Raw genomic sequence first — 20,953 nt, 5'->3', positions numbered from 1 at the left:
TCTAGGTTTTCCAGTTTGTGTGCATAGAGGTATTCATAATAGCCTCTGAGGATCTTTTGTGTTTCTGTGAGATTGATTATAATGTCACATTTGTGTTTTTTATTATGTTTTTTGGATCTTTTCTCTTTTTTTTCTTTGTTAATCTTGCTAGTGGTCTATCAATCTTGTTTATTCTTTCAAAAAAACCAACTTTTGGTTTTATTGATTGTATAGACTTTTGGGTCTCAATTGCATTCAGTTCTGCTGTGACATTTGTTAGCTTTGGTGTTAGTTTGTTCTGCTAGCTTTGGGGTTAATTTTTTCTTGTTCTTTTTTTTGTAGGTATGCGTTAAGTCATTAATTGAGATCTTTCTAACTTTTTAAGGAAATTGTTTAGCATTATAAACTTTCCCCTTATTACTGCTTTTGCCTCATCCCAGAGATTTTGATATGTTGTGTCTCTGTTTTCATTTATTTCAAATAATTTTTGACTTCTGCCTTAATTTCATACTTTACCCAAAAGTCATTCAGGAGTGTTTAATTTACATGTAATTGTGTGGTTTTCTGAGATCTTCTTGGTATTGATTTCTATTTTTGTCCTACTTTGGTCTGAGAATATGATTCATATAATTTTGATTTTTTTGACTTTGTTGAGATTTGCTTTATGGCTGAGTATGTGGTTGATCTTGGAGTATGTGTCACGTGCAGAAGAGAAGTATGTATATTCTGTGGTTGATGGGTAGAGTATTATGTAGATGTCTATTAGGTCCAATTGGTCAAGTATTGAATTCAAGTCCAGAATTTCTTTGCTAGTTTTCTGCCTTGATGATCTGTCTAAAGCTGTCAGTGGGGTGTTGGAGTCTCCCTCTATTATTGTGTGGCTCTCTAAGTCTTTTTGTAGGTCTAGAAGTACTTGTTTTATGAATATGGGTGTTCCAATATTGACTGCATATATAATTTGGATAGGTAAGTCTTCTGGTTGAGTTATATCCCTTATCATTAGGTAATGCCCTTCTTTGTTTTTTTACTGTTATTGGTTTACAGTGTGTTTCATCTGTTAGAAGAATAGTGATCCTTGGTCTTTTCTGTTTTCCATTTGTGTGACAGAACTTTCTCCAACTTTTTGCTTTGAGCCTGTGGGTGTTGCTACATGTGAGATGGGTCTCTTGTTTTATCCAGTTTGCCTCTGTGTGCCTTTTAAGTGGGGCATGTAGACCATTTGCATTCAAAGTTAATATTGATATGGGCAGTTTTGACCCTACCATGAAACTGTCAGCTGGTTGCTTTATAGTTTCTATTGTGTGGTAGTTCTACACGGCCTGTAAACTATGTACTTAATTGCCACACTCACTTTCTCACATAGGCCTTTGCAAATTATACCCTTGGCTTGAAACAATATTTGCCTACCTTTCTATCTGGGTAACTCCTGCTCATCTCTTCAGCTTTGGCTTAGATGTTACTTGTTTGGGAATATTTCCTGACACCTCTCTTCCTTCCCCCGGGTCCAACGTGCTTGCCTTATCATGGCACTTACCATATATGGCCTGTTTTTCAGTGTCCCAAAATAGACTGGATTTCATTGAGGGCAGGAATAGCATTTGGTTTACCATTCTATCCCCAGCACTCAAAACATTGCCTGGCCCACAGTAGGTGCATGATAAATATTTGATGAATAAATGTTCACTGCCTATTTCAAAGCATACTGTATTGTGTATTAATCAATGAATGGCTGATATATCCTGAAATTCTGGACAATATGTGTGTTCAGTACTGGAATTACTATTAAAATATTCTTTTTAATATTTTTGTCTTTTCATAAGAGTTAAAGTACTCATATTTTGTGTTTCAAATATCTTAATAGTTGGCTGAAAAATGTCAAACCATAGATAGTCTAAGATCCATGAGGCTAGAGATTTTTGTTTTGTTCATTTCTGAATCCCTATCACCTAGAAAAGTGCTTGGTACGTACTGGGCACTCAATACATGTTTTCTGAATGCACAAATGAAAACACGGAGTTTGCCTCCTTAAATATTGTGAACTATACCTGTCTCTTGTCTTACCTAGTCCTGGCCCTGTGAGGCTTAATTGAATATGTGAAGGTCTATTGAATTCCTCCCTGCAAAAAGAGGTCTTCAGTATAAACATAGCACATATTTTCTGGGTAGAATTGGGGCAGCTAATGAGGGTTTTTGTGCCCTAGTGAAAAGTCTGCTACATCCTTGATCTTAGGGGCTTGAAATCACAAGGACCACCTTCTCTCTCATTCACCCTAAAGTGAAACGTGATAGCCAATAAGTCCTGCCTTTGTAGAGTTCGCTCAGTCTTGGTGTTAAAGATGCCTGAGCAGTAACAAGTCACTGTACATTAGGAACATTTCTGTGATAAATGTGAGAGATAAAAACCAAAATGCAGTAAAAAATATGACCTAAGATAATTAAGAAAATAGAACAGAACCCACCAACAGTTATAAACTATAAATTGGAAAACTCGAACATCAGCACAGAGATTTGGGAAGTTATAACATCCATGAAACAAGAACAAGATGCTCTGGAGAGAACACAGGAAAAAAAGAAAAGAGTTCCTGGAAATTAAAAAAAAAAATCTTGACAAACCAAAACATTCAATAGAAGGGCTGGAAGATTAAGTCAAGAGACTCTCCCAGAAAGTAGAATGAAAAGAAAGACTCAGAACATCAGAGAATAAAGACAAAATAAAGGGTCAACTGGCAGATCCAAAATTTAACTAAGACTGTTTTCTAGATGAAAGAATGGAAAAACAAACAAACAAACAACCAAAAAATAATGAAGAGGAGAAAATTATAAAGAAATATCAGAAGAGAACTTCCCCAAATCTTCCAATTGAAAGAGTCTCCTGAATACTCAGAAACAATGAATGAAATAAGATCAATACCTCTAAAATTACAAACCAGAAAGGATAAAGAGAGGAACTTAAAGCTTTTAAAGGAGAGAAGTGGGGCACTTACCAAAAGATGAAAGTCAGACTAACATCAGATTTACCATCAGCAACACAAGATGCCAGAGGACAGTGGAGTGATCCCTTCAAATGGCTCTCAACCTAAAATTCGATATTGTGTCAAACCATGAGACAAGTGTGAGGCAGGATAAAGACATTTTCAAGCAGAAAGCCTCATAACTTTTGCCTCCCATGATCTTTTTCTTATGAAATATGTTTAAGATATGCTACAACAAAGCAAGAGAATCAATTAAGAAAGGGGGTGGCATGGGGTGAGGAAACAGTGACTCCAGCCCAAGAGAGTAATCCCAGGATGCAGCTGAGCAGCAGACCTGACAAACAATCAGCCTTGAGTGGGTGACACCACGAAGGCCCATATAACAAAGTGCACATTTTCCTCTGCTGTGAACCATAGTTCAAAGACAGACTTATGTACATATCTTTTATTCATTTTCAACTTTTAGAATCAATCTTTAGACCAATAAAAAGTATTTAAGTTTGGCTACAGGAAAGAACACAAATGTTTTAAACCTCTATAGTGAAATAGAAAAAAAAATAAATAGGTTGGAGGGAGAAGTGAAGAGGAGATGAGGAGTGGGTAATAACGTCATCTTACCAGTTAGGGAGTGTTTATAATTGATGAACTGAAACAAAACAAAACAGCCTTCTGTATGTTACTTAGAGTTGCAGAAATAATCATTAAGGAAATTAAACTGGATATGCCTATATTTTTGGAAAAAGAAAGTGGAGAAGTAAAGTAAATGACTTAAATCTTCGTCTGATTTTGGAAAAGGTCTAATATTTATAAATCCAGAAATGGTAATATATGTACATAATTTACAGTTTTTGGGATAACCGTTTGATGTACCTTCTGAAGTTTGAGAGTAATTTTCTCTGGGGAGTGGGACTGGGGCTGTGGTGATGGAGGTGGGGGCATGAAGAGTCTCTTGCTTTACTAGATATGCCTTAATGTAGTATTTGATTTTGTAACTCTTTGCATGTATTGCTTTGATTGAAAACATTAAAAGTACTTAAAAAAGAAACTAGTATACTGTAAACACTTGATATATGGCAGCCGTTATTATATTAGTAAGGGGGCAGGGAAATAATCCAGAATTATATTAAGGAGTTGTTATGGCAAAGTATTTGAAGCATGGATTTTTGGCTAAGTTTGAGTCCTGGCTGATGGATGTATATGGTTGGCCTTGGCAATGCTCAGGTTCTCATCTGTAAAACGGGGATAATAGTAGTATCCACTACACATCATTGTTCGGAAGATTATACGTAATATTCCATATAAAACTGTTAGCATAAAGTCGGGCCTATTATAAAGATAATAATAAATATTTCTTATTTTATTCAGTATTATTAATTTTAGAATAAATTTGATTTAAAGGAACAAAGGACCTACATGTGGCTCCAATTTTACTGTAGGTATTAACAAGCTTTGTGACACAGAATAGATAATTGCAATTGCCCACAGCATTGTTTCTCTTTAAAAAAGTAGTTATAATCCTATCTGCTTTTGTAACTTTAGAATCAATTGCAAAAGTTAATGCAGTTTCTCTTTAAAAGAGTAGTTACAATCCTATCTGCTCTTGTAACTTTAGAATCAATTGCAAAAGTTAATGGAGTCTTTAAGAATAAAAACTTTAGCAATAATCCTGGGGGAGGAAATGTGGACTCTGCAGCTGATAAAGCTCTTATATGTAAGTGTTCAGAGTGGAACCTTCTGTAGGCTTGCTCCTGAAATAGATACAGGCTCACAGTTCCTTATCGAAAACTTTGGAGCCAGATATATTTAGAAATTTAGGATTTTCTGGTTGTAGAAAGACAATATGGTGTTGTCTGCCATTTTATTGTGCAATAACTCCAGTGACATCTGAGAAAGTACCTGTAATCAAACACATTAATGTTTTTATATTAGAAAATATTAATTCACAAGTATTAGGTAGGCTTTAAGAAGCCATCATTAAATACATAACATTCCAGGTCAGATATTGCTGCACAAATGGGTTCAAGTCAGATCAGGTTTTGCCGTAAAGTAGGTTTTGAAAAAACTTTGCATTTTCTGTGGTTTTTTGTATTTTGAAGTTGTATTGAGCATTTGAGGATCTGTACAGCCATCCCATATAGTTTTGTGATTTTTCTTTCCCATATACTTTTGGAAAGTTCACTTCTTTGGTACATGGTTCTGAAATGAGAAGATTATATTTAACAGTAATGATGAAACAGCCATTTTAGTGCCAGACATTTGAGGCTGCAAAATAATACACTAAAAATACTTGGGGGAACTATTTTTGAATTTTAAAAGATAATTATTGGAATGAGGTTTTGGTTATTTTTGTTGTTGTTGTTCTCCTACAGGAAAAAGAGCCTGTGGATTTCTCAGTCAAATCTCAAGCGGATAGAGAATTTCAGTTCTTTGACCACCATCTGATGGAATCCATTAAAATGGGTGATCCCAAAGTTCATGAATTCCTTAGGTTACTTGCTCTCTGCCACACTGTAATGTCAGAAGAGAATAGCGCAGGTAAGTGAAAAGTTATGTCTGAGTGGTGAACCTTGTTTTTGTTTTTTAAAATTGAAACTGACACTAAATTTGAAGGATTTACAAATTAAGCATTTGAGCAGTGAGCCTTGTTTTTTGTTTTTGTTTTTTAACACAGAAACTGATGTTAAATTTGAAGGATTTTCAAGTTAAAGATAGAACATAGTTTATATCCCATATGTTTTGAAAAAATGTGGAGAGATTTAAGTGAAAAAGAAAAGAAACAAGGACAATGGAAAAGTGAGGACCCAAATATGCTAGTCAAGGGATGACATCGTTCTTACAATTGAGCACCACATTTGACTGTAAGCTTCTGGGTAGCCAGGACAAATACTGAAATACAGTTGAGTCACACATCTCTCATTATTAGTATGCATATCTAATAGATGCAGATGACCTTCAGACATATGCTTAGAATGAATTTTCCCAGTAACAGAGATAAATTGACCTTGATATTAGAATAGTCTTATTTAGGCTCCATTATGAGAAGGTCCTCACACTTGTGAGATGGTTGTTTGGAACTCAGGGTTCATAGGATAGAACAAAACCGCTTGGGCCACTTAACATTTTGAAGCTGTGAGACAGGTAGATAATGGTATAGTGAACTGGCTTCTTGCCCTAGTTGAACCTAATCTATTCCATTTATATGTTTTCCTCAGCCCACTAATTCTTCCTACAAGGTCTTTGGTTCTTTCTCAAATCTGTTTAATTTTATATCTCAATTTTATTTCTTGAAATCTGTTAAATATATTGCATGTGCTGTTTCTGATACTTCCAATATCTAATTTTTTTTTCAGATCTTATTCTGCATTGTTTCTGTTGGTTCTTAGGTTTTACTTGTTGTTGTTGTATACTTTTCACTGTGAGCTGACCATTTTACTTTGAACTTAATTTATATAAATTTTTTGGGTCCAGTTGGTTCCTCCAGAAAGGATTTACATTTGCTTCAATGTTCTAATGTAGAAACATTTTAAACTAAAGTTTCAACTTGATTTCTTTCAGGCCACCTAGATATTGTGAATTCAGAATGCAAGTTTACATGAGAGTCAGTGATTGGTTATAAATTCTTGGCAGATATTTTTTTCCCTTCCAATTATAAGGAGGGTTCTATTTAGGCAAGTTTTATTCCAAGCCCTCTTCAAGGGGGCATGGGTGTCCAGTTTACCCTTATATTGAGAGTAGTCTTTGGGGGACCCAGTTTTGAGAGGCCATCTTTCACTGGACTCTCACCTTAGACAGGTACTGGGCTATGGCTTTTTAAATTAAAGCCCAGAGACATTGAAAACCAATGATCAAGTTCTCCTGGTTCAGAAAACACCCTCAAGGCAAATGCTGGCTAATGTGCTTCTTTAATCCCTTAAGTGTTCTTTTTCTCAGTCTCTGACCTGAACAGTTCTTACTTTCTTGCAAGTTCATGAATGTATTTAAGAATATTAAAATGCTTTTATAGTTGTTTGTAGCAGTTGAGATTGGTCCTGACACCCATTCCACCATGTTACCAGAAGTAGAACTTATGTTATTTCGTGGGTAGATCAAGTAATTGCTTTAAGTTTTTTCCTTTTGTGAATTTCAAAAATTCATTCATGTCTATTGTATTAAGTGGAACAATACAATACAAAAATTTATAAAGATGAAGCTAATGGTAGCTTCCCTGAACTCCAGTCTCACCCCTACAGAGGTAACCACTGGTAACATCTAGTGTTTATCATTTCACCCTTTCCTCTGGCTCATAAATATATACATATATTCAAGAATATTTCTAGATATTTAGGTGATTTGTTTCTTTTTAACAAAAAGAACTCATAGTATAGCCATTAATATGCAACTTGTTTACTTAACAATTATCTTGGACATGACTATAAATCAGGAAATATGGGTCTAGCTATGCCTAATTAATAGTCTTTAAACATTAATTAATTTTCAAATTAATTTTTACATATAAATATAATATAATTTTATATAAGGGCTTACTTTATATATGCTGTTTTATAAACTCTCTCTCTCTATATGTATATATACATATAACTTATTTTATTCTTTTTGTCTCCTCTCCCCTCTTACCCCCACTCCAACTACACATAATATCAGGTAACAAGTATTAATATCCTGGTTTGATTTCTTACATTTCAAGGGATTTCTTGTATGCATTCTCATAAAATGGTCATTAGTGGCAGACTGAAGTAGAATTTGGAGTATCTCTCCATCACTCTTTAGCTGTGTGATCTCATCAAACTCATGTAACCTCTTTCAGTCATAGGTTCCACCAGTATAAAATGGAAATAATAATTTTAATAATCTCTACCTCAAAGGCTGCCCTGAGGATTATTTGGGTTAATATATATTAAAATGTTTTAGTTTACAAAACATTCATGGCACATCTCTAGTCACAGAAAATACAAAGGTTTGATCTCTAACCTAAGAAACTGAGCACAGTGAAGAGGCAGACTCAGAAATGGATGTTTTCCTATAAGATGACAAGGGCTATAGCAGTGATATGCATAGAGTCCTATGGTATCCCAGAGGACAGATACCAGATTGAGCTGTTGGTGAGTAGAAAAGATCTGAGGACAGGAAAGATTTTTAGACCTGATGCTTGAGTTGGGTGTTAAATACTGAGTTGGAGTTGGCATTGGAACTCTATGAATGTTAGCTGTTAGTCAGTATTGATACACTTGTTTCTTTACCTTTTAGGAGAGCTGATTTACCAAGTTCAGTCACCTGATGAAGGGGCTCTAGTGACTGCCGCTAGAAATTTTGGGTTCATTTTTAAATCCCGGACCCCAGAGACCATAACAATAGAAGAATTGGGAACACTAGTTACTTATCAATTACTTGCCTTTTTGGATTTCAACAACACCAGAAAAAGGATGTCTGTCATAGGTATGGTTGGTAGCTAAGACTATTTTTGATCTTTTCATACTGTTGTGGTTATGCTTTTCAAGGATTAATTTCACTTTTGGCTATGTGCTGAGGGTTGTGATAGTTTTGAAACTTTATGTATAAACTCTTGTGTTGCTCAACCTAGCCTCAATACTGCAGTGATATATAACTAACATTTATCAAGTGCTCATTATGTGCCCAGCACTGTTCTAAATGCCTTATATGAGTATGTACAATGTATCAATAAAAATATAAAAAAATTTTAAAAATAAACCACAAAAATGCTCTCCATGAATTAATTTATTCAATTGTCCCAACAATCCTAATAAGGTAGGAACTATTATATTTATACCCATTAACAGATAATGAAACTAAGACACAGAAAGGTTGAGTAACTTGCCCAGGTTCGCATAGTTTGAAGTAGAATAGCTGGGATTCAGACCTAGGAAGTGTGACTGCATAGCCCATTCACTTGTTCACTATACAGTACTGGCTCCGGATGAGTTTCTAAATTGCTTGGCACATGACAGTTGTTGTGAACATCGTCCTCAGCCTCCTCATTATCATTCATTTTCTCTGTCCACCTCCATTGCTGGAGAGGACCACCTAATATTATATTTAGCACCACAACAAATCTGTGCTTTCCTGACTCAATGCTAACTCTTAGTGCTGTGTCAATGTCACTCTCATTCATATTTAGTGCCTTTTTCCATTTTCACAATAGATATTCTAAACCTTGGCTGTTTCCTCAAGTTCTCAACACTGCTACAATCTTCTTTACTCTTGAAAGCTAAATTCATCTCCTATTTCTCTAAGAAAATAAAGGCCCTCAGGAATGCACACCATTAAGTCTTTTCCCCATCCTCCCTCTTCATCCCTAAGCTGTATCTTTAATAATTTACTCTCCTGCATCAGAAAACAATTGCTCTTTTTCCTTTTCAAAGCTGAAGGTTTTTCCAGTCCCATTCCTTATCCCTCCTTGCTTGCTCACTTCTTGCTTTTGCCTTCAATTTCTCAATTACTGGCTCCTTCCTTCAGCCCACAACTATATTATCCTCCTGTTTCCTTAAAAATATTCTTCATATGCTGGTGTCCACTGACTTTGCCACTATATTTTTCTGCTTTCCATCCCAGATTAGTTTCTCAGGTCAGTTTTTGCTTCTTGCCTTTCTTACTCTTTTCATCCCATTAGGGTTAAGTTTCTTCTTCCTCTACTCAAGAAGAAATGCTTTCTCAGAGGTTTCCATTAACCTTGTAACTTCCCAGTCCAATGGCTTTTCCTTATTAATCTGTTCATCTATCTATTTTTTTAAACTTAGTAGTATTTGAGACTGTTGGCCCTGTTTTCTTGACACTCCTGTTTTGGTCTCTGTAAACTTTCTGGCTCCTGTTTCTCTTCTTGTCCCATTGTTTTCTTTCTCAAGCTCCTTTGCTGACTATTCTCCTTCATCCCATTCTTCAATATTGATGTCCTTTTCTCTTTTTAGCTCCTGTGTTCTTCTTGGATGATCTTGACCACATACATGGTGGTAGCTATTGCTTATATTCTGTGACCTTCTTATACAGCTGTTTAGCTTCGATCTCTTTCTAGAGTCCAAACACACATTTTCAGCTTCCGTTATGTCCTGTCACTGGATTGTTACCTAAAGTTTTATGTCAAATATGGAACTTTCTTTCTCACAACTATAGTTCTTTCTATAATCTGTATTAAAATTCACAGTTACCTCTCTCATTGTATGCTTGTCCATGAACTTTATAATGAATTCTTTTATTGAATCGTTGCAACTGCATGTAACATGCATGTCCCATTTAAGACAAGAGGAGACTAAATGCAAAGATTTTAAGTAACTTGCCAAAGATTGTCACACAGCTGTAACACAACTTGTGGCGCAGTTGGGTAAGAGGCAGATCAGATATGTGAACCCAGGTTTTCCAAAATCTGGTCTTTTAAGGCCTATTATAGCTCACTCACTTTTTTCCATAGCTTTTGTGCCCCTTGGCTGATGGTTCTCAAACTTTACCTCCCATCAGCGTCACCAGGAGGGCTTGTTACAATACAGATTGCTGGGCCTCAGCCTCTAGTCTTATTTAGCTGGTCTGAGGTGGGGCCCACCAATTTGCATTTCTAACAAGCTTGTGGGTGATGCTGATGCCACTGGTCAGGGAATCACAGTTTGGGGACCACTTCTCTAGACTAATAGATCCTCAAATACTATCCATTATTTTCCCCAGAGATGTTTGAGACATTTCTCTAATCCATCTCCTTCTCTTCCAGTCTCAGGCCTTAACATCTCTAGAATATTCTATTGTCACCCTGTTTGTAAGTCTCTCCTCAGAGGCATCAGAATAATATTTATTAAAATGGCCTCATAAACCCCTTTTTAATCATGAAAGCTTTTTGTCCTTTTTTCCTAATTCCCAGTACCCTGCCTTAGTTAAGTTTCTTGTCACTGCTTGCTTGTATTATTGTAATATCTTCAAAATTATTCGCTTTTAAAATAATCCTCTATGCTGTCACCAGGATATTCTTTCTAAAACATAGGCCTGATTTTACTACCCCCTACTTAAAAAGCATAGGTGGCTTCCCAAACCTTAAAAGAAAAAGTCATTAGTATGACGTGCAAAATTATTTGCAATCTGATCTCAATCTACTTTTCTTCTACTTTCCAAAACTTTGAGCTCAACTAGACCTCACCATCCCTGGATGCATTGTTGCTGTTATACCCTTTGGACATGCTGTTCTCCTGTCTTGAATACTCCTTTCCCCCACTTCTCTTCTTGGAAATGTTCCCTACTACTCATCTGGTAATGTCCAATTCAAATGTTACCCATTTTTCAATTCTTTTTCTATTCTCCAAATAACCACATTCTTCTGTGTTCCCCAGAATGCCTTGTTCATAACACCAGTGTGGTATTAATTCCATGACACTCACAACTATCCTAGTCATTAAACTGTGTGCTACCTCAGGCAAGTGCTGTACCTTAGTCTTCCTAAACTGCCCAAGGCAAAGCACAGAGCTTGGCACATGATAAGTTTTCTATAAATGTTTATGAAATACTACTCAACCCAGCACTTTGTAAATTATGAATATCCTACTCATGGTATTTAATCAATTTCTTACTATTTAAAAAGTGTTTATACGTAACAGTAGGGTTTTTGGTCTCTAACTACTAGAAACTAGCCTTGAAAGATGGCTCTCAGCAGGTAAAAACCAAATAACATCTGAGAATGTTTATTTTTATTTTTATGTTTTGACAACAGGGAAGTCATCACCAGTGCCACTGATGAGCACACATGCCGTTCTAGGTGTTGGCTTAATGTTGTATCAGCAGGAGCTATCTTCTATTTACAGCCTCAGGGAAGGTGTTATTGATGTTGGTTTGGCCCAGAGTTGGTTTCTTTTTGCTCTGAGGGTGTTGACAAAAACCTAAAATTGCTACACAGGGAGATGTTTGGCTTTTCCTCAGCATTGGTCACCATTACAGGCTGTGGAGAAATTGCAGCCTAACCACAAACATCAGATGTTTGCCTTAATGGATCCCATATGAGGAAAGGTAGTGCTCTACCACAGAATGCATGAAGGTTTGCTGGATTTATTTTTATTCTGCTTGGTTTTTAATCAGGAGGATTTTTAGAGGGACTCTACCAGGGCAGAAAAGTCTTTGCATGATAACAAGGCAGAAAACAATCCTGGTCTCATGATCGTCACATGGGTTGGTCTGTAGGAACAACACCCTGATGCAAAGGCTCAGGCATTGCTTCTGTTGCTGCTGATCCTCCCCTTTCTCCTCCTCCCTCTTCTGCTTCCTTGTTTTTGGGTGGCAGCCATTATTCACTAAATCATCAATGTATAATTTCAATACCAGTAGTACTTTCATTCTGAAGAAAGAGCCCTGATTTAAGTCAGAAGTATCTACATAAAAATTGATTTCTATAAAGGATTTTTTTCCAGAGGGAACAGAATATACTATATTAGTAAAAAATATAAATGACATTATATAGTTTTGGAAGGACCAATTCTACTAATTCTGTAAATAGAAATACAGAGATAAAATTCAGAGGTGGCTATTAACAGGGGCAAGTGGCAGATAACCATTAAAGAAGAAGAAATTACAAGAAGCTTCTTGGAAGGCTCTTACGAGATCTTTAGATAAAAGTTGCTCAACTCTAAACTTTTTCAAGATTATCAAAGTACAAATCACACTGTCATGTGACAGGCATTTCTCTGTGTAGATGTATGAACAGCGGCGATATGGCAAAATAGAATTATTTACCACCCTTCACAGTGCTGCTGTTGCATCTAACTGGAAGCCATTTGTGACATTTTTTCTTTCCTTTATGTCACAAAGGCATAGCTTCTGCTTTCAATAAATTGTGCACAATTTTGGTTCATCTTAATTAAGTAAATATTGATTTAAGTTCCCCATATGTTCCAGGGCCTTCAAGCTAAGGGAGAATGTGAAAAGTTGAAAGGTAGTTCTATGTGGCTGCCTCCAAGAGAACATGGTAAAACAGACTGGATAGTGCAGCTGTTAATAAGCTCTATATGTCATGTCAAGGAGTCCAAACTTAATAGAAGGGAGAGGGAAGCTATTGCAGGATTCTAAGCAGCAGCATGAAGATGACTGTAACTGGAATATACAGAAGAGTCTGGAAGGAAGCAGTACTGGAATGGGTAAAACCAGTTAGGTTAAAGTGATTTTCTAGGCAAGAGAGAAGTGGCAAGAGAAATCCGTAGCTTCCCTTAGATGTATGGTTGGTGAAGGGAGAACTGTGAGTGATGCCTAGATTTCTGATTTGGGAGACTGAATGGATGGTGAAGCTGATTACTAAGACTGGGGATATAAGAGGAGTAGCTAATTATTGGAGGAGGGTAATATGTCCAGTATGAGTTTGGTGTGCTTGAGCATATCCAAGAGATTTTCAACTGGTAGTCGGATGTGCAGGTCAGAATGGAGTGCTAGAGATGGATTGGACAGGAGATACACATTTGAAAACAGCCTGGTGTTGGAACCTGAAGCCATAGAAATGATGCAGTTGCCCAGGGACAGTATGAAGGATGGGAAGATAAAAAAAAGACCCCAAGTAAATCTCTGAAGAACACTAATATTTAAATGGAAAGCATTGGGAGAAGATTTTATAACCTAAAAACTGTAACCTTTGTCCAAGTTCTGGCCATATGTTATCGTGACCATTTAAAACTATGTCCTTTTTAGTTTATTTAAGAAATACTAACTTCTGAAATGACTTAGATTTTATTAACTTTGAACAGAAACGACCAGAAGGCTTGGAAGAAAAGAGATATAAAACTTGCTGCTAAAGCAAATGTTTAATGAGTAAACATAAGCAGGATTCCATGAAATTGGATTTCCACAAAATCAAATTTAAAGGGACAAATACTAGGTTAAGGGAAAGTATCAGGGATGGAAAGTATTTATTGAATCAGAAAATTGTACTGCTGCAAAGGACCTTTGAAGTTAGATTGTTTAAACATCTCCTTTTTACATGTAGAAACTAAGATACAGTGATGGTAAGGGATTTACACAAATCACAATCAGTTTGTGATTCTTCCAGACCAGTGATTCTAAATGTGTGGTCCAGGGAACCTTAGGGAACTTTGTGAGTTTTTCAGAGGATGCACAAGGACAAAAGTATTTTCATTATAATATCACTATTATTTATCTTTTTCATTCTTTTTCTCATGAGTATACCATGGAGTTTTGCAGAAGCCACGTGACATGTGATGTCACAACAGAATGAATGCAGAAACAGATATGGGAATCCAACCCTCTTTTATTAAACTAGATGTTACAAAGATCTGTAATCATGTAAAATAATGCCAATCTCCAAACTAATATTTTTTGGAAAATATAGTTTTTTTATAGAAATGTTATTTATGCTTATATGTTAGATTTACAATAATAATAATTATAGTAACTAGTGTTATAAAACTGATATAATAAAATTTCTCATTTTTAATTTCTAATATGGATATTGATAGATAACATTCACTTAAAAAAACTTTTTAGAATCCTCACTCAGCATTGAAAAATTATAAAGAAGGTCCTGAGACCATAAGTTAGAGAACTAATGTCCTAGTCTAGAATACAAAATACAGGCAAATGTAGGTTATTCATCGTTTGCCTTTATACCTCTGGTGTTGGAAGGGAGAAAATATAAGGGAAATTATTCAATTGGATTATTGTACAAGAAAATCAAGAGAGAGTCTTTCCTAGGATTAAGTTTCCCCCCCTGGTTTAACAATTAGATAAATTGCATATGTTTTTCTCTTTCTTTTTCCCCAATGTAGGGGTTAGAGCTAGAGTACAAGAAAACCCACATGAGTTCTGGCAATTAGGCAAGCTAACCAAGGGTCTTAAAACAGAAGACAAGACCTAGACAAGGCCCAGTCCTAAAAAGCTTCCAGGGTATGTTATTAGATCTATGTAAGCCAGGAGGAAACTAGAATAGATAAGTGTAGACTGGGGTAGAGGGGAGGGTAACATTGTATTTTGGTTTTTATATTTTTTTAAATTAAGCACTAAATTTTGTACGCCATTTTCTTTGGCATTACATTAACAGTAAATAATAGTAAACATTTATGTTAACCTTTTTTTGAGGCATTCTCTTTGTAGATAAATGGGATAATTGAGTAGAAAGCATGTAATGATCTTTGACTGAACTGATGAAGCCTATGAGGGCAAGAGTATTCAGATTATGAAGTTGTGACAAAGGCAGTTGTCTTAAGTTGTAGGCAGTTCTGGGAAGAAATACCCAGCCATGTCATTCATTCATTCAACAAATAATTATTAATTGCCTACTATGTGTCAAGCTGTACAACTAAACCTAAAAAGTTAGGCCAAGTGTTCTGTGGTTTGAAAGAAAGCTTTGTCTAACAGCAATATGCTGGGGGTTGTCGGTGGGAATGGAGTTGAGGGTAGCCTAGGAAGGGCTGTCAGTCTCAAACCTGTGGGGCAGGTTAAAAACACAGTACTACCGATATAGACTTCCAGTGGGAATGAGGTGGAAACTTTATTTTTAAAAGCCCCTCTGTGAAGTGTGTTTTCAGCCAGAATTGTTACCCAGGAACGAACCACCAAGAATTAATGGACTTTTCCGGAGTAAAAGGGATGAAGAAATATGTCAGCAAGGGCCAAGAAAAAATGCATAAACCATGACTTTGAATGGCTAGAATTGCATATGGAGATGATTTAGCATAGCACTGATACTGATTTGAACAGCAGGTCTTGAATTTCACACCAGGAGACAGGCAAATAAAGCTCTCAATTCTGCTTAATATGGAGATGAAGACTTAATTTAAATGTATCAACCCTTCAGAAATAGTAAGCAAGGAAAACAGGAAGGTCATGTGCTTCAGAATAAAAACACTTGTTTCTGAATTTGGGAAATCAAAGATTCCAGTAGATGGAGCATTTCTTAAGTTAATAAATGAGAATAAAGCCAAGTGACTTAGGTAATGACCTAACCAAAGGCACTGAGTGTCTTACTACTGGCTAAAACATTATGCCCATTTCCAAATTGCCAGGCTGGAGCTCTGGGAGAATCTAATTTTGATGTATGACGTTGATTATATTCTGCTTTTCCAAACTTTTTTCTTTTCAGTTCGAAACCCAGAAGGACAGATAAAGCTTTATTCCAAAGGAGCAGATACTATTCTGTTTGAAAAACTTCATCCTTCCAATGAAGTCCTTTTGTCTTTGACGTCAGACCACCTCAGTGTAAGTGCCTCCGTCTTAAGGTTAGCACAATGGCCCTTTTGCCATCTCCTATGGTTAGGTCTTGTTTAAAAAAAATAGCAGCTAGATGATTTGACTACTGAAATAGAAAGCATCTGGAGAATGGTTCCACAGGAAGCTGTGCCAATGATTGTCTGGGAATTGGCACAAGGACCACCCCCCTTTCTGCCCCGTTGGAAGTCCAGTCAGTCTCTACAGGTGGAGGAACACACAGCAACTGAGTAGTAGCCACAGAATGTGGGCGTCTAGGGAACCTGCTGTAACTCCCCTGCAGCTTCATGTTGCTCCTCTTGGAAGACTGGACTAGTTTTGGAAAGAGGAGACAGAGAGCTCCTTTTCCTTGGGTTCTGATGTGTTTGGCACCAGTGGAATATCTTATGATTACCTCTAGGGAAAGTTTAGAGTTGTGTTTAGATTGTGAGAGGAAAATAGTCTCTGGTGCACACTTTCTCCTCTAAGGGTCTTTTTATTCAGGTCATAAATCATGATGAGTCACTTGTGTGCCCTCAGACACCAAACTTGTATATTCTGAGACCAGCATAATTTCTTTCCAAAAGCTTTCTGAAAGAAGTAAGAGTGATTTTTGGCACTTTTTTGTTAAATGCCAAAAAGTAAGGGAATGGGAATTAATATGAGCTTTACTTGTTTTAAACCTGAGATTCAAGTGTGTCTCAAATATTTGCCTATGGTTCCATTTAAGGGCATCTGGTCAAAACTGTCATTTTCTCATTGGTTTCTTTCCTTTAAGATATTATTGAGTATTCATGTTCTTTGTCAGACCCTATATTTAATGCAAAACATTCCCTGAATCTTTAAAAAGCAAATAAACAAATAAAAAAAATCCTCTGTCTCACTTTAAATTTAAAAAATGATGGTTTGGTAATATTGGTTACAAACATAGCTATTGTTTTTTGTCTTTCCAATAGAGAATTGATTTTCTTTTAATCTTTTCCAGGAGGCCAGCATGGTCTTTTAAATTTTTTTTAATGAACACAACACTGGAATCATAAGTGTCTGACTTATTGCCGTTACTCAAACACCAAGGCCCTGGTTTTTCATACATTCTCCTTTAATACTAAACTATAGGAAACCTAATTTGGTCTTTTTACATTTCTCTGCAAAATAATTTTTTTTCAGGTAATATAAATTTAACTTGCTCTTTGCTTCATTCACTTTATTCATTTTGACTTCTAGATTCTGAGGTCTTAAATGTTTATTTAATTACTGATTTCGAATTGTTTAATGATAGGAAAAGACCTTAATAAAATGCTCATTTAGGATTGAACTTGTGTTTCATGTACTAATTAAATAATTTAAATCATCCGTTTCCTTTTGTAATGTCATCTTATTGTTCATTCACTGTTGTGCAGAACAGAGAGGAAGGCAGTGGTAATGCCCAGTGGGGATGCAAGTTAAAGGCAAAAAAGTGCTTGTGTGAATTAAGAGGACAAAAGATCATTACAAGACAGTAGCTAGATTTTCAGATCCGTAGGGGATCCAGTTGTGGTCTTGAAAGGCAGGGCTTGCAAAATGTGATTCCAATATCCGAAGTGCTACCAACTGCCTACTATAGAAATTTGGATACTTTTTCTCAATATCTGTCTGGGGTAAACCATCTCATTGCAGTACGCATTGACTTTTCTATTTACCTAATTACAGTATCTCACAGTTTAACCTACGCCTGATTATAAACCTCTATGTGTACCATACGCCAAAACACCACAGAGGAGACATACTCAATGGCAATACCCAAAGGAGCAGAAATGGCCATAAAAATGCTTTACTTGCAGTGTAGAGGCCCATAAAATGACCACTGGAAGCACAAGCGGAATGGGAGTTTTTGAGCATTTCCCCCAAAGCAATCTACGTATGTTTCTAGTTACTATGGCTGTGTGAGACACTTAGCAAATACCAGTCTCCTCTTTTTCTTTTCCCCTACTATTAGGATAAAGCACCAAAGGTGTTTGAGATTGTCACGATACAGGAAAAAGGAAGAGTATGCTTCCCCAATCAGTTTGACTAATTTAGTACTAACTTCATAGAATATAGCTTCTAAAAAATAATACCTTTTTTGCACTAAGCTGACTTGATAATGGTATCTTTAAAATTCCCAACAATTTGTTATTATTAAGATAAAACTTTAATACAGCAAAAAATAAAAAGTTTCACGGAGGAGTCTATAATGAAAAGTGAAGGTCAGCCTCCACATTTAGTCCTGCTTCCCAGAAGCAACCACCTATATTAGCTTTTCTTCCTTTCTCTCCCCTTTTGCCCTAGAGGTTATTGTTATAACCTTAAGTAATATGCTTAAACTTCTAATATCTGACTATTTAACATCTATTTATTCATTTATTATTTACTTTTAGCTTTTTATCATGAAAATTTTCAAGCATATGCAAAAGTAGGACTCAATTTTAGGCATAGGCATATCACTAGGGGGAATGTGACAAGACTTGGGTGTGATGTCATGTTGTGGTTCCTGGGGAGAGCCTCCTGCCTTTGATTTGAGGACTATGGCTTCTCTAAGGGTCCTTTCCTCTTCACTGAAAGCTGAGGTCCATAAAACACACTGGGTCCCTCTCATGGCCAGAAATGCTTCCTTCCGTCAAGGACAGATTGGAAACAAATATATGTTGCCATAAATGAATATCTCAAGTCATGGGTGTCACTGATCACCTCTCAACTAGGACACTTCAGCAGGCTTTTCAGCTGTGTTTAGGGGGAAGACTTGCTCCCCTGCATGTTTTAACCTCATAGAAATAAAACGGAAAACACACACATTATCTCCCATTTCTGAGGAGATTAAAAAGTTGAGAGTAAGGATAGCCAAGCAGTGCTCTTGGTACAAAATGAATTTGAGTGAAAAATTTCTCACCAATTATTTTTGTTGTTGTTATTTCTGTGCTTATTGTTTCTTTGATGGTTCATGAGTCTATGTCATCTCTGGCAGGAATTTGCAGGGGAAGGCCTTCGGACCTTGGCCATCGCATACAGAGACCTGGATGACAAGTACTTTAAAGAGTGGCATAAGATGCTTGAAGATGCGAATGCTGCCACAGAAGAGAGGGATGAACGAATAGCTGGGCTATATGAAGAAATTGAAAGAGATTTGATGGTATGAGTTTAGAAGCATGATGGTTTGTGTTTACAGGAAAGATAGTATGTGTTTAGAGATTTAGCACAGGAATAAGCCATTGGCTAAGTCATCTTGCACACAGCAGATGTTTCTCTTTCAATCACTGAATCATGCTTTATATGTTGGCTTTGAGTTTTCCATGTATGGTCCTAGAGAGCCTAGAATTGTATTTCTATTAGCAGTAGCTTATGCAATTGGAAGCTTCCCAAGAGTAGAAGATAGTAGGCTACCTATTCTTTGTCAACCTCTGATGGTCCTTGATGTTATGGGATTTTTACTTTTCTCCTTGTTTTATTACCCACCTTTTTAGAGCAGAGAAATTTGCTGTGAAGAATGGGGCTACAGTTCTAAACCATCCTAAGCCATGAGATTCTGATGATATCTGTGCTATCCAGAGCATGGTCTATTCTAAAAACCACTCTTACCTGAAGCCCCAGTGGCCAGGAATACCTCACCCACTGTGAGGTACTAGAGAGTATGCTTTGCTCAACTTTTGATGAAAAATCGTGGCCGGGCGCGGTGGCTCACACCTGTAATCCCAGCACTTCAGGAGGCCGAGGTGGGCGGATCACGAGGTCCGGAGATGGAGACCATCCTGGCTAGCATGGTGAAACCCCGTCTCTACTAAAATTACAAAAAATTAGCCGGGTGCGGTGGCGGGCGCCTGTAGTCCCAACTACTTGGGAGGCTGAGGCAGGAGAATGGTGTGAACCCGGGAGGCGGAGCTTGCAGTGAGCCGAGATCGCGCCACTGCACTCCAGCCTGGGCGACAGAGCAAGACTCCGTCTCAAAAGAAAAAAGAAAGAAAGGAAAAGGAAAAATCATGCAGGATCTTTCACTTTAGTTTATGGCGTCTGCTGGTTTGTTAATGTAGAAGAATGACTAGACTTTTTGTGATCAGCTTCCTGACTATGGGATGAAGGCTATTCTTTGGACTCCTCCACTGTTGATATAAGTGGGGAAGCAGCTGGGGAGTTCTTAAGTCCAAATGGCTTCCTACTGCTCACGCTAACATGTTATCTGAGCATATCAGCCCCTTCAAGTAAATAATAAGTCCCAAGATCTCTGCTAAGTTGGCTTGATTTGGGAACTTCCTTCTGGAGTCCTTCCCAATCCACTTTCACACAAAATAGGATGCCTGCTATATCAATGTATCATAATTTCTGTCTTCAATTAATATTCTTTGGCCTCCAGAATCTGTGAGTGAAATCCATAGATGTTATAGATATTGTTTGCATGCATTAACATAAACTTTTCTCTCTTTTTCAATAAAGCTACTAGGTGCCACTGCTGTAGAAGATAAGTTACAGGAGGGTGTTATTGAAACAGTTACAAGTTTATCACTAGCCAATATTAAGATCTGGGTCCTAACAGGAGACAAACAAGGTAACTTGAAAATGGATGTTGATGATATTTTGAAAATGGGGAGATGACTTATATCACAAAATTTTAATTAACCAGAAAGGTTAATTAATTAAATATTCACCCAATCTTCCACATAGGAAAGACTTGAAATAGAGAAGAGGAAGTTAATGTATTGCAAGAATCTATTTTAAAACAAACCAAACTAACAAAATGCCTTCCATAGTATAAGCTGGAGTCAGTTAAGTTTCGGTCCAATTGCCTCTTGAATATAATCATTACACCTAGAGGCAAAAATGGTATTTAAAATGTT

General features: G+C 36.7%; 1 protein-coding gene across 47 annotated transcripts in view; it reads left to right on the top strand.

The window, feature by feature from the left end:
- Positions 1-20,953, top strand: part of ATP8B4 (ATPase phospholipid transporting 8B4 (putative)) — a 323,617-nt gene that overhangs the window by 242,352 nt on the left and 60,312 nt on the right. For 37 of the 47 annotated variants that reach the window (NR_073597.2, NR_073598.2, XM_011522056.4 and 34 more), the window contains 5 exons: positions 5,321-5,486; positions 8,196-8,384; positions 16,009-16,124; positions 19,093-19,257; positions 20,553-20,664. Coding sequence is in view for 43 of the 47 variants with exons in the window: in XM_011522056.4 (XP_011520358.3) it covers positions 5,321-5,486; positions 8,196-8,384; positions 16,009-16,124; positions 19,093-19,257; positions 20,553-20,664 (748 nt within the window). In the remaining 4 variants the exon portion in view is untranslated. Of the gene's footprint in view, positions 1-5,320; positions 5,487-8,195; positions 8,385-16,008; positions 16,125-17,097; positions 17,280-19,092; positions 19,258-19,588; positions 19,850-20,552; positions 20,665-20,953 lie in introns of those variants that run through there. The other 10 variants (NR_073596.2, XM_047433096.1, XM_047433094.1 and 7 more) reach the window with 3 other exon arrangements.

This window comes from Homo sapiens, chromosome 15 (genome assembly GCF_000001405.40).
Source record: "Homo sapiens chromosome 15, GRCh38.p14 Primary Assembly".
Classification (NCBI taxonomy): Eukaryota; Metazoa; Chordata; class Mammalia; order Primates; family Hominidae; genus Homo; species Homo sapiens.
The sequence above is the reverse complement of the archived record's forward strand: the minus strand, read 5'-3'. Positions and strand labels throughout refer to the sequence as shown.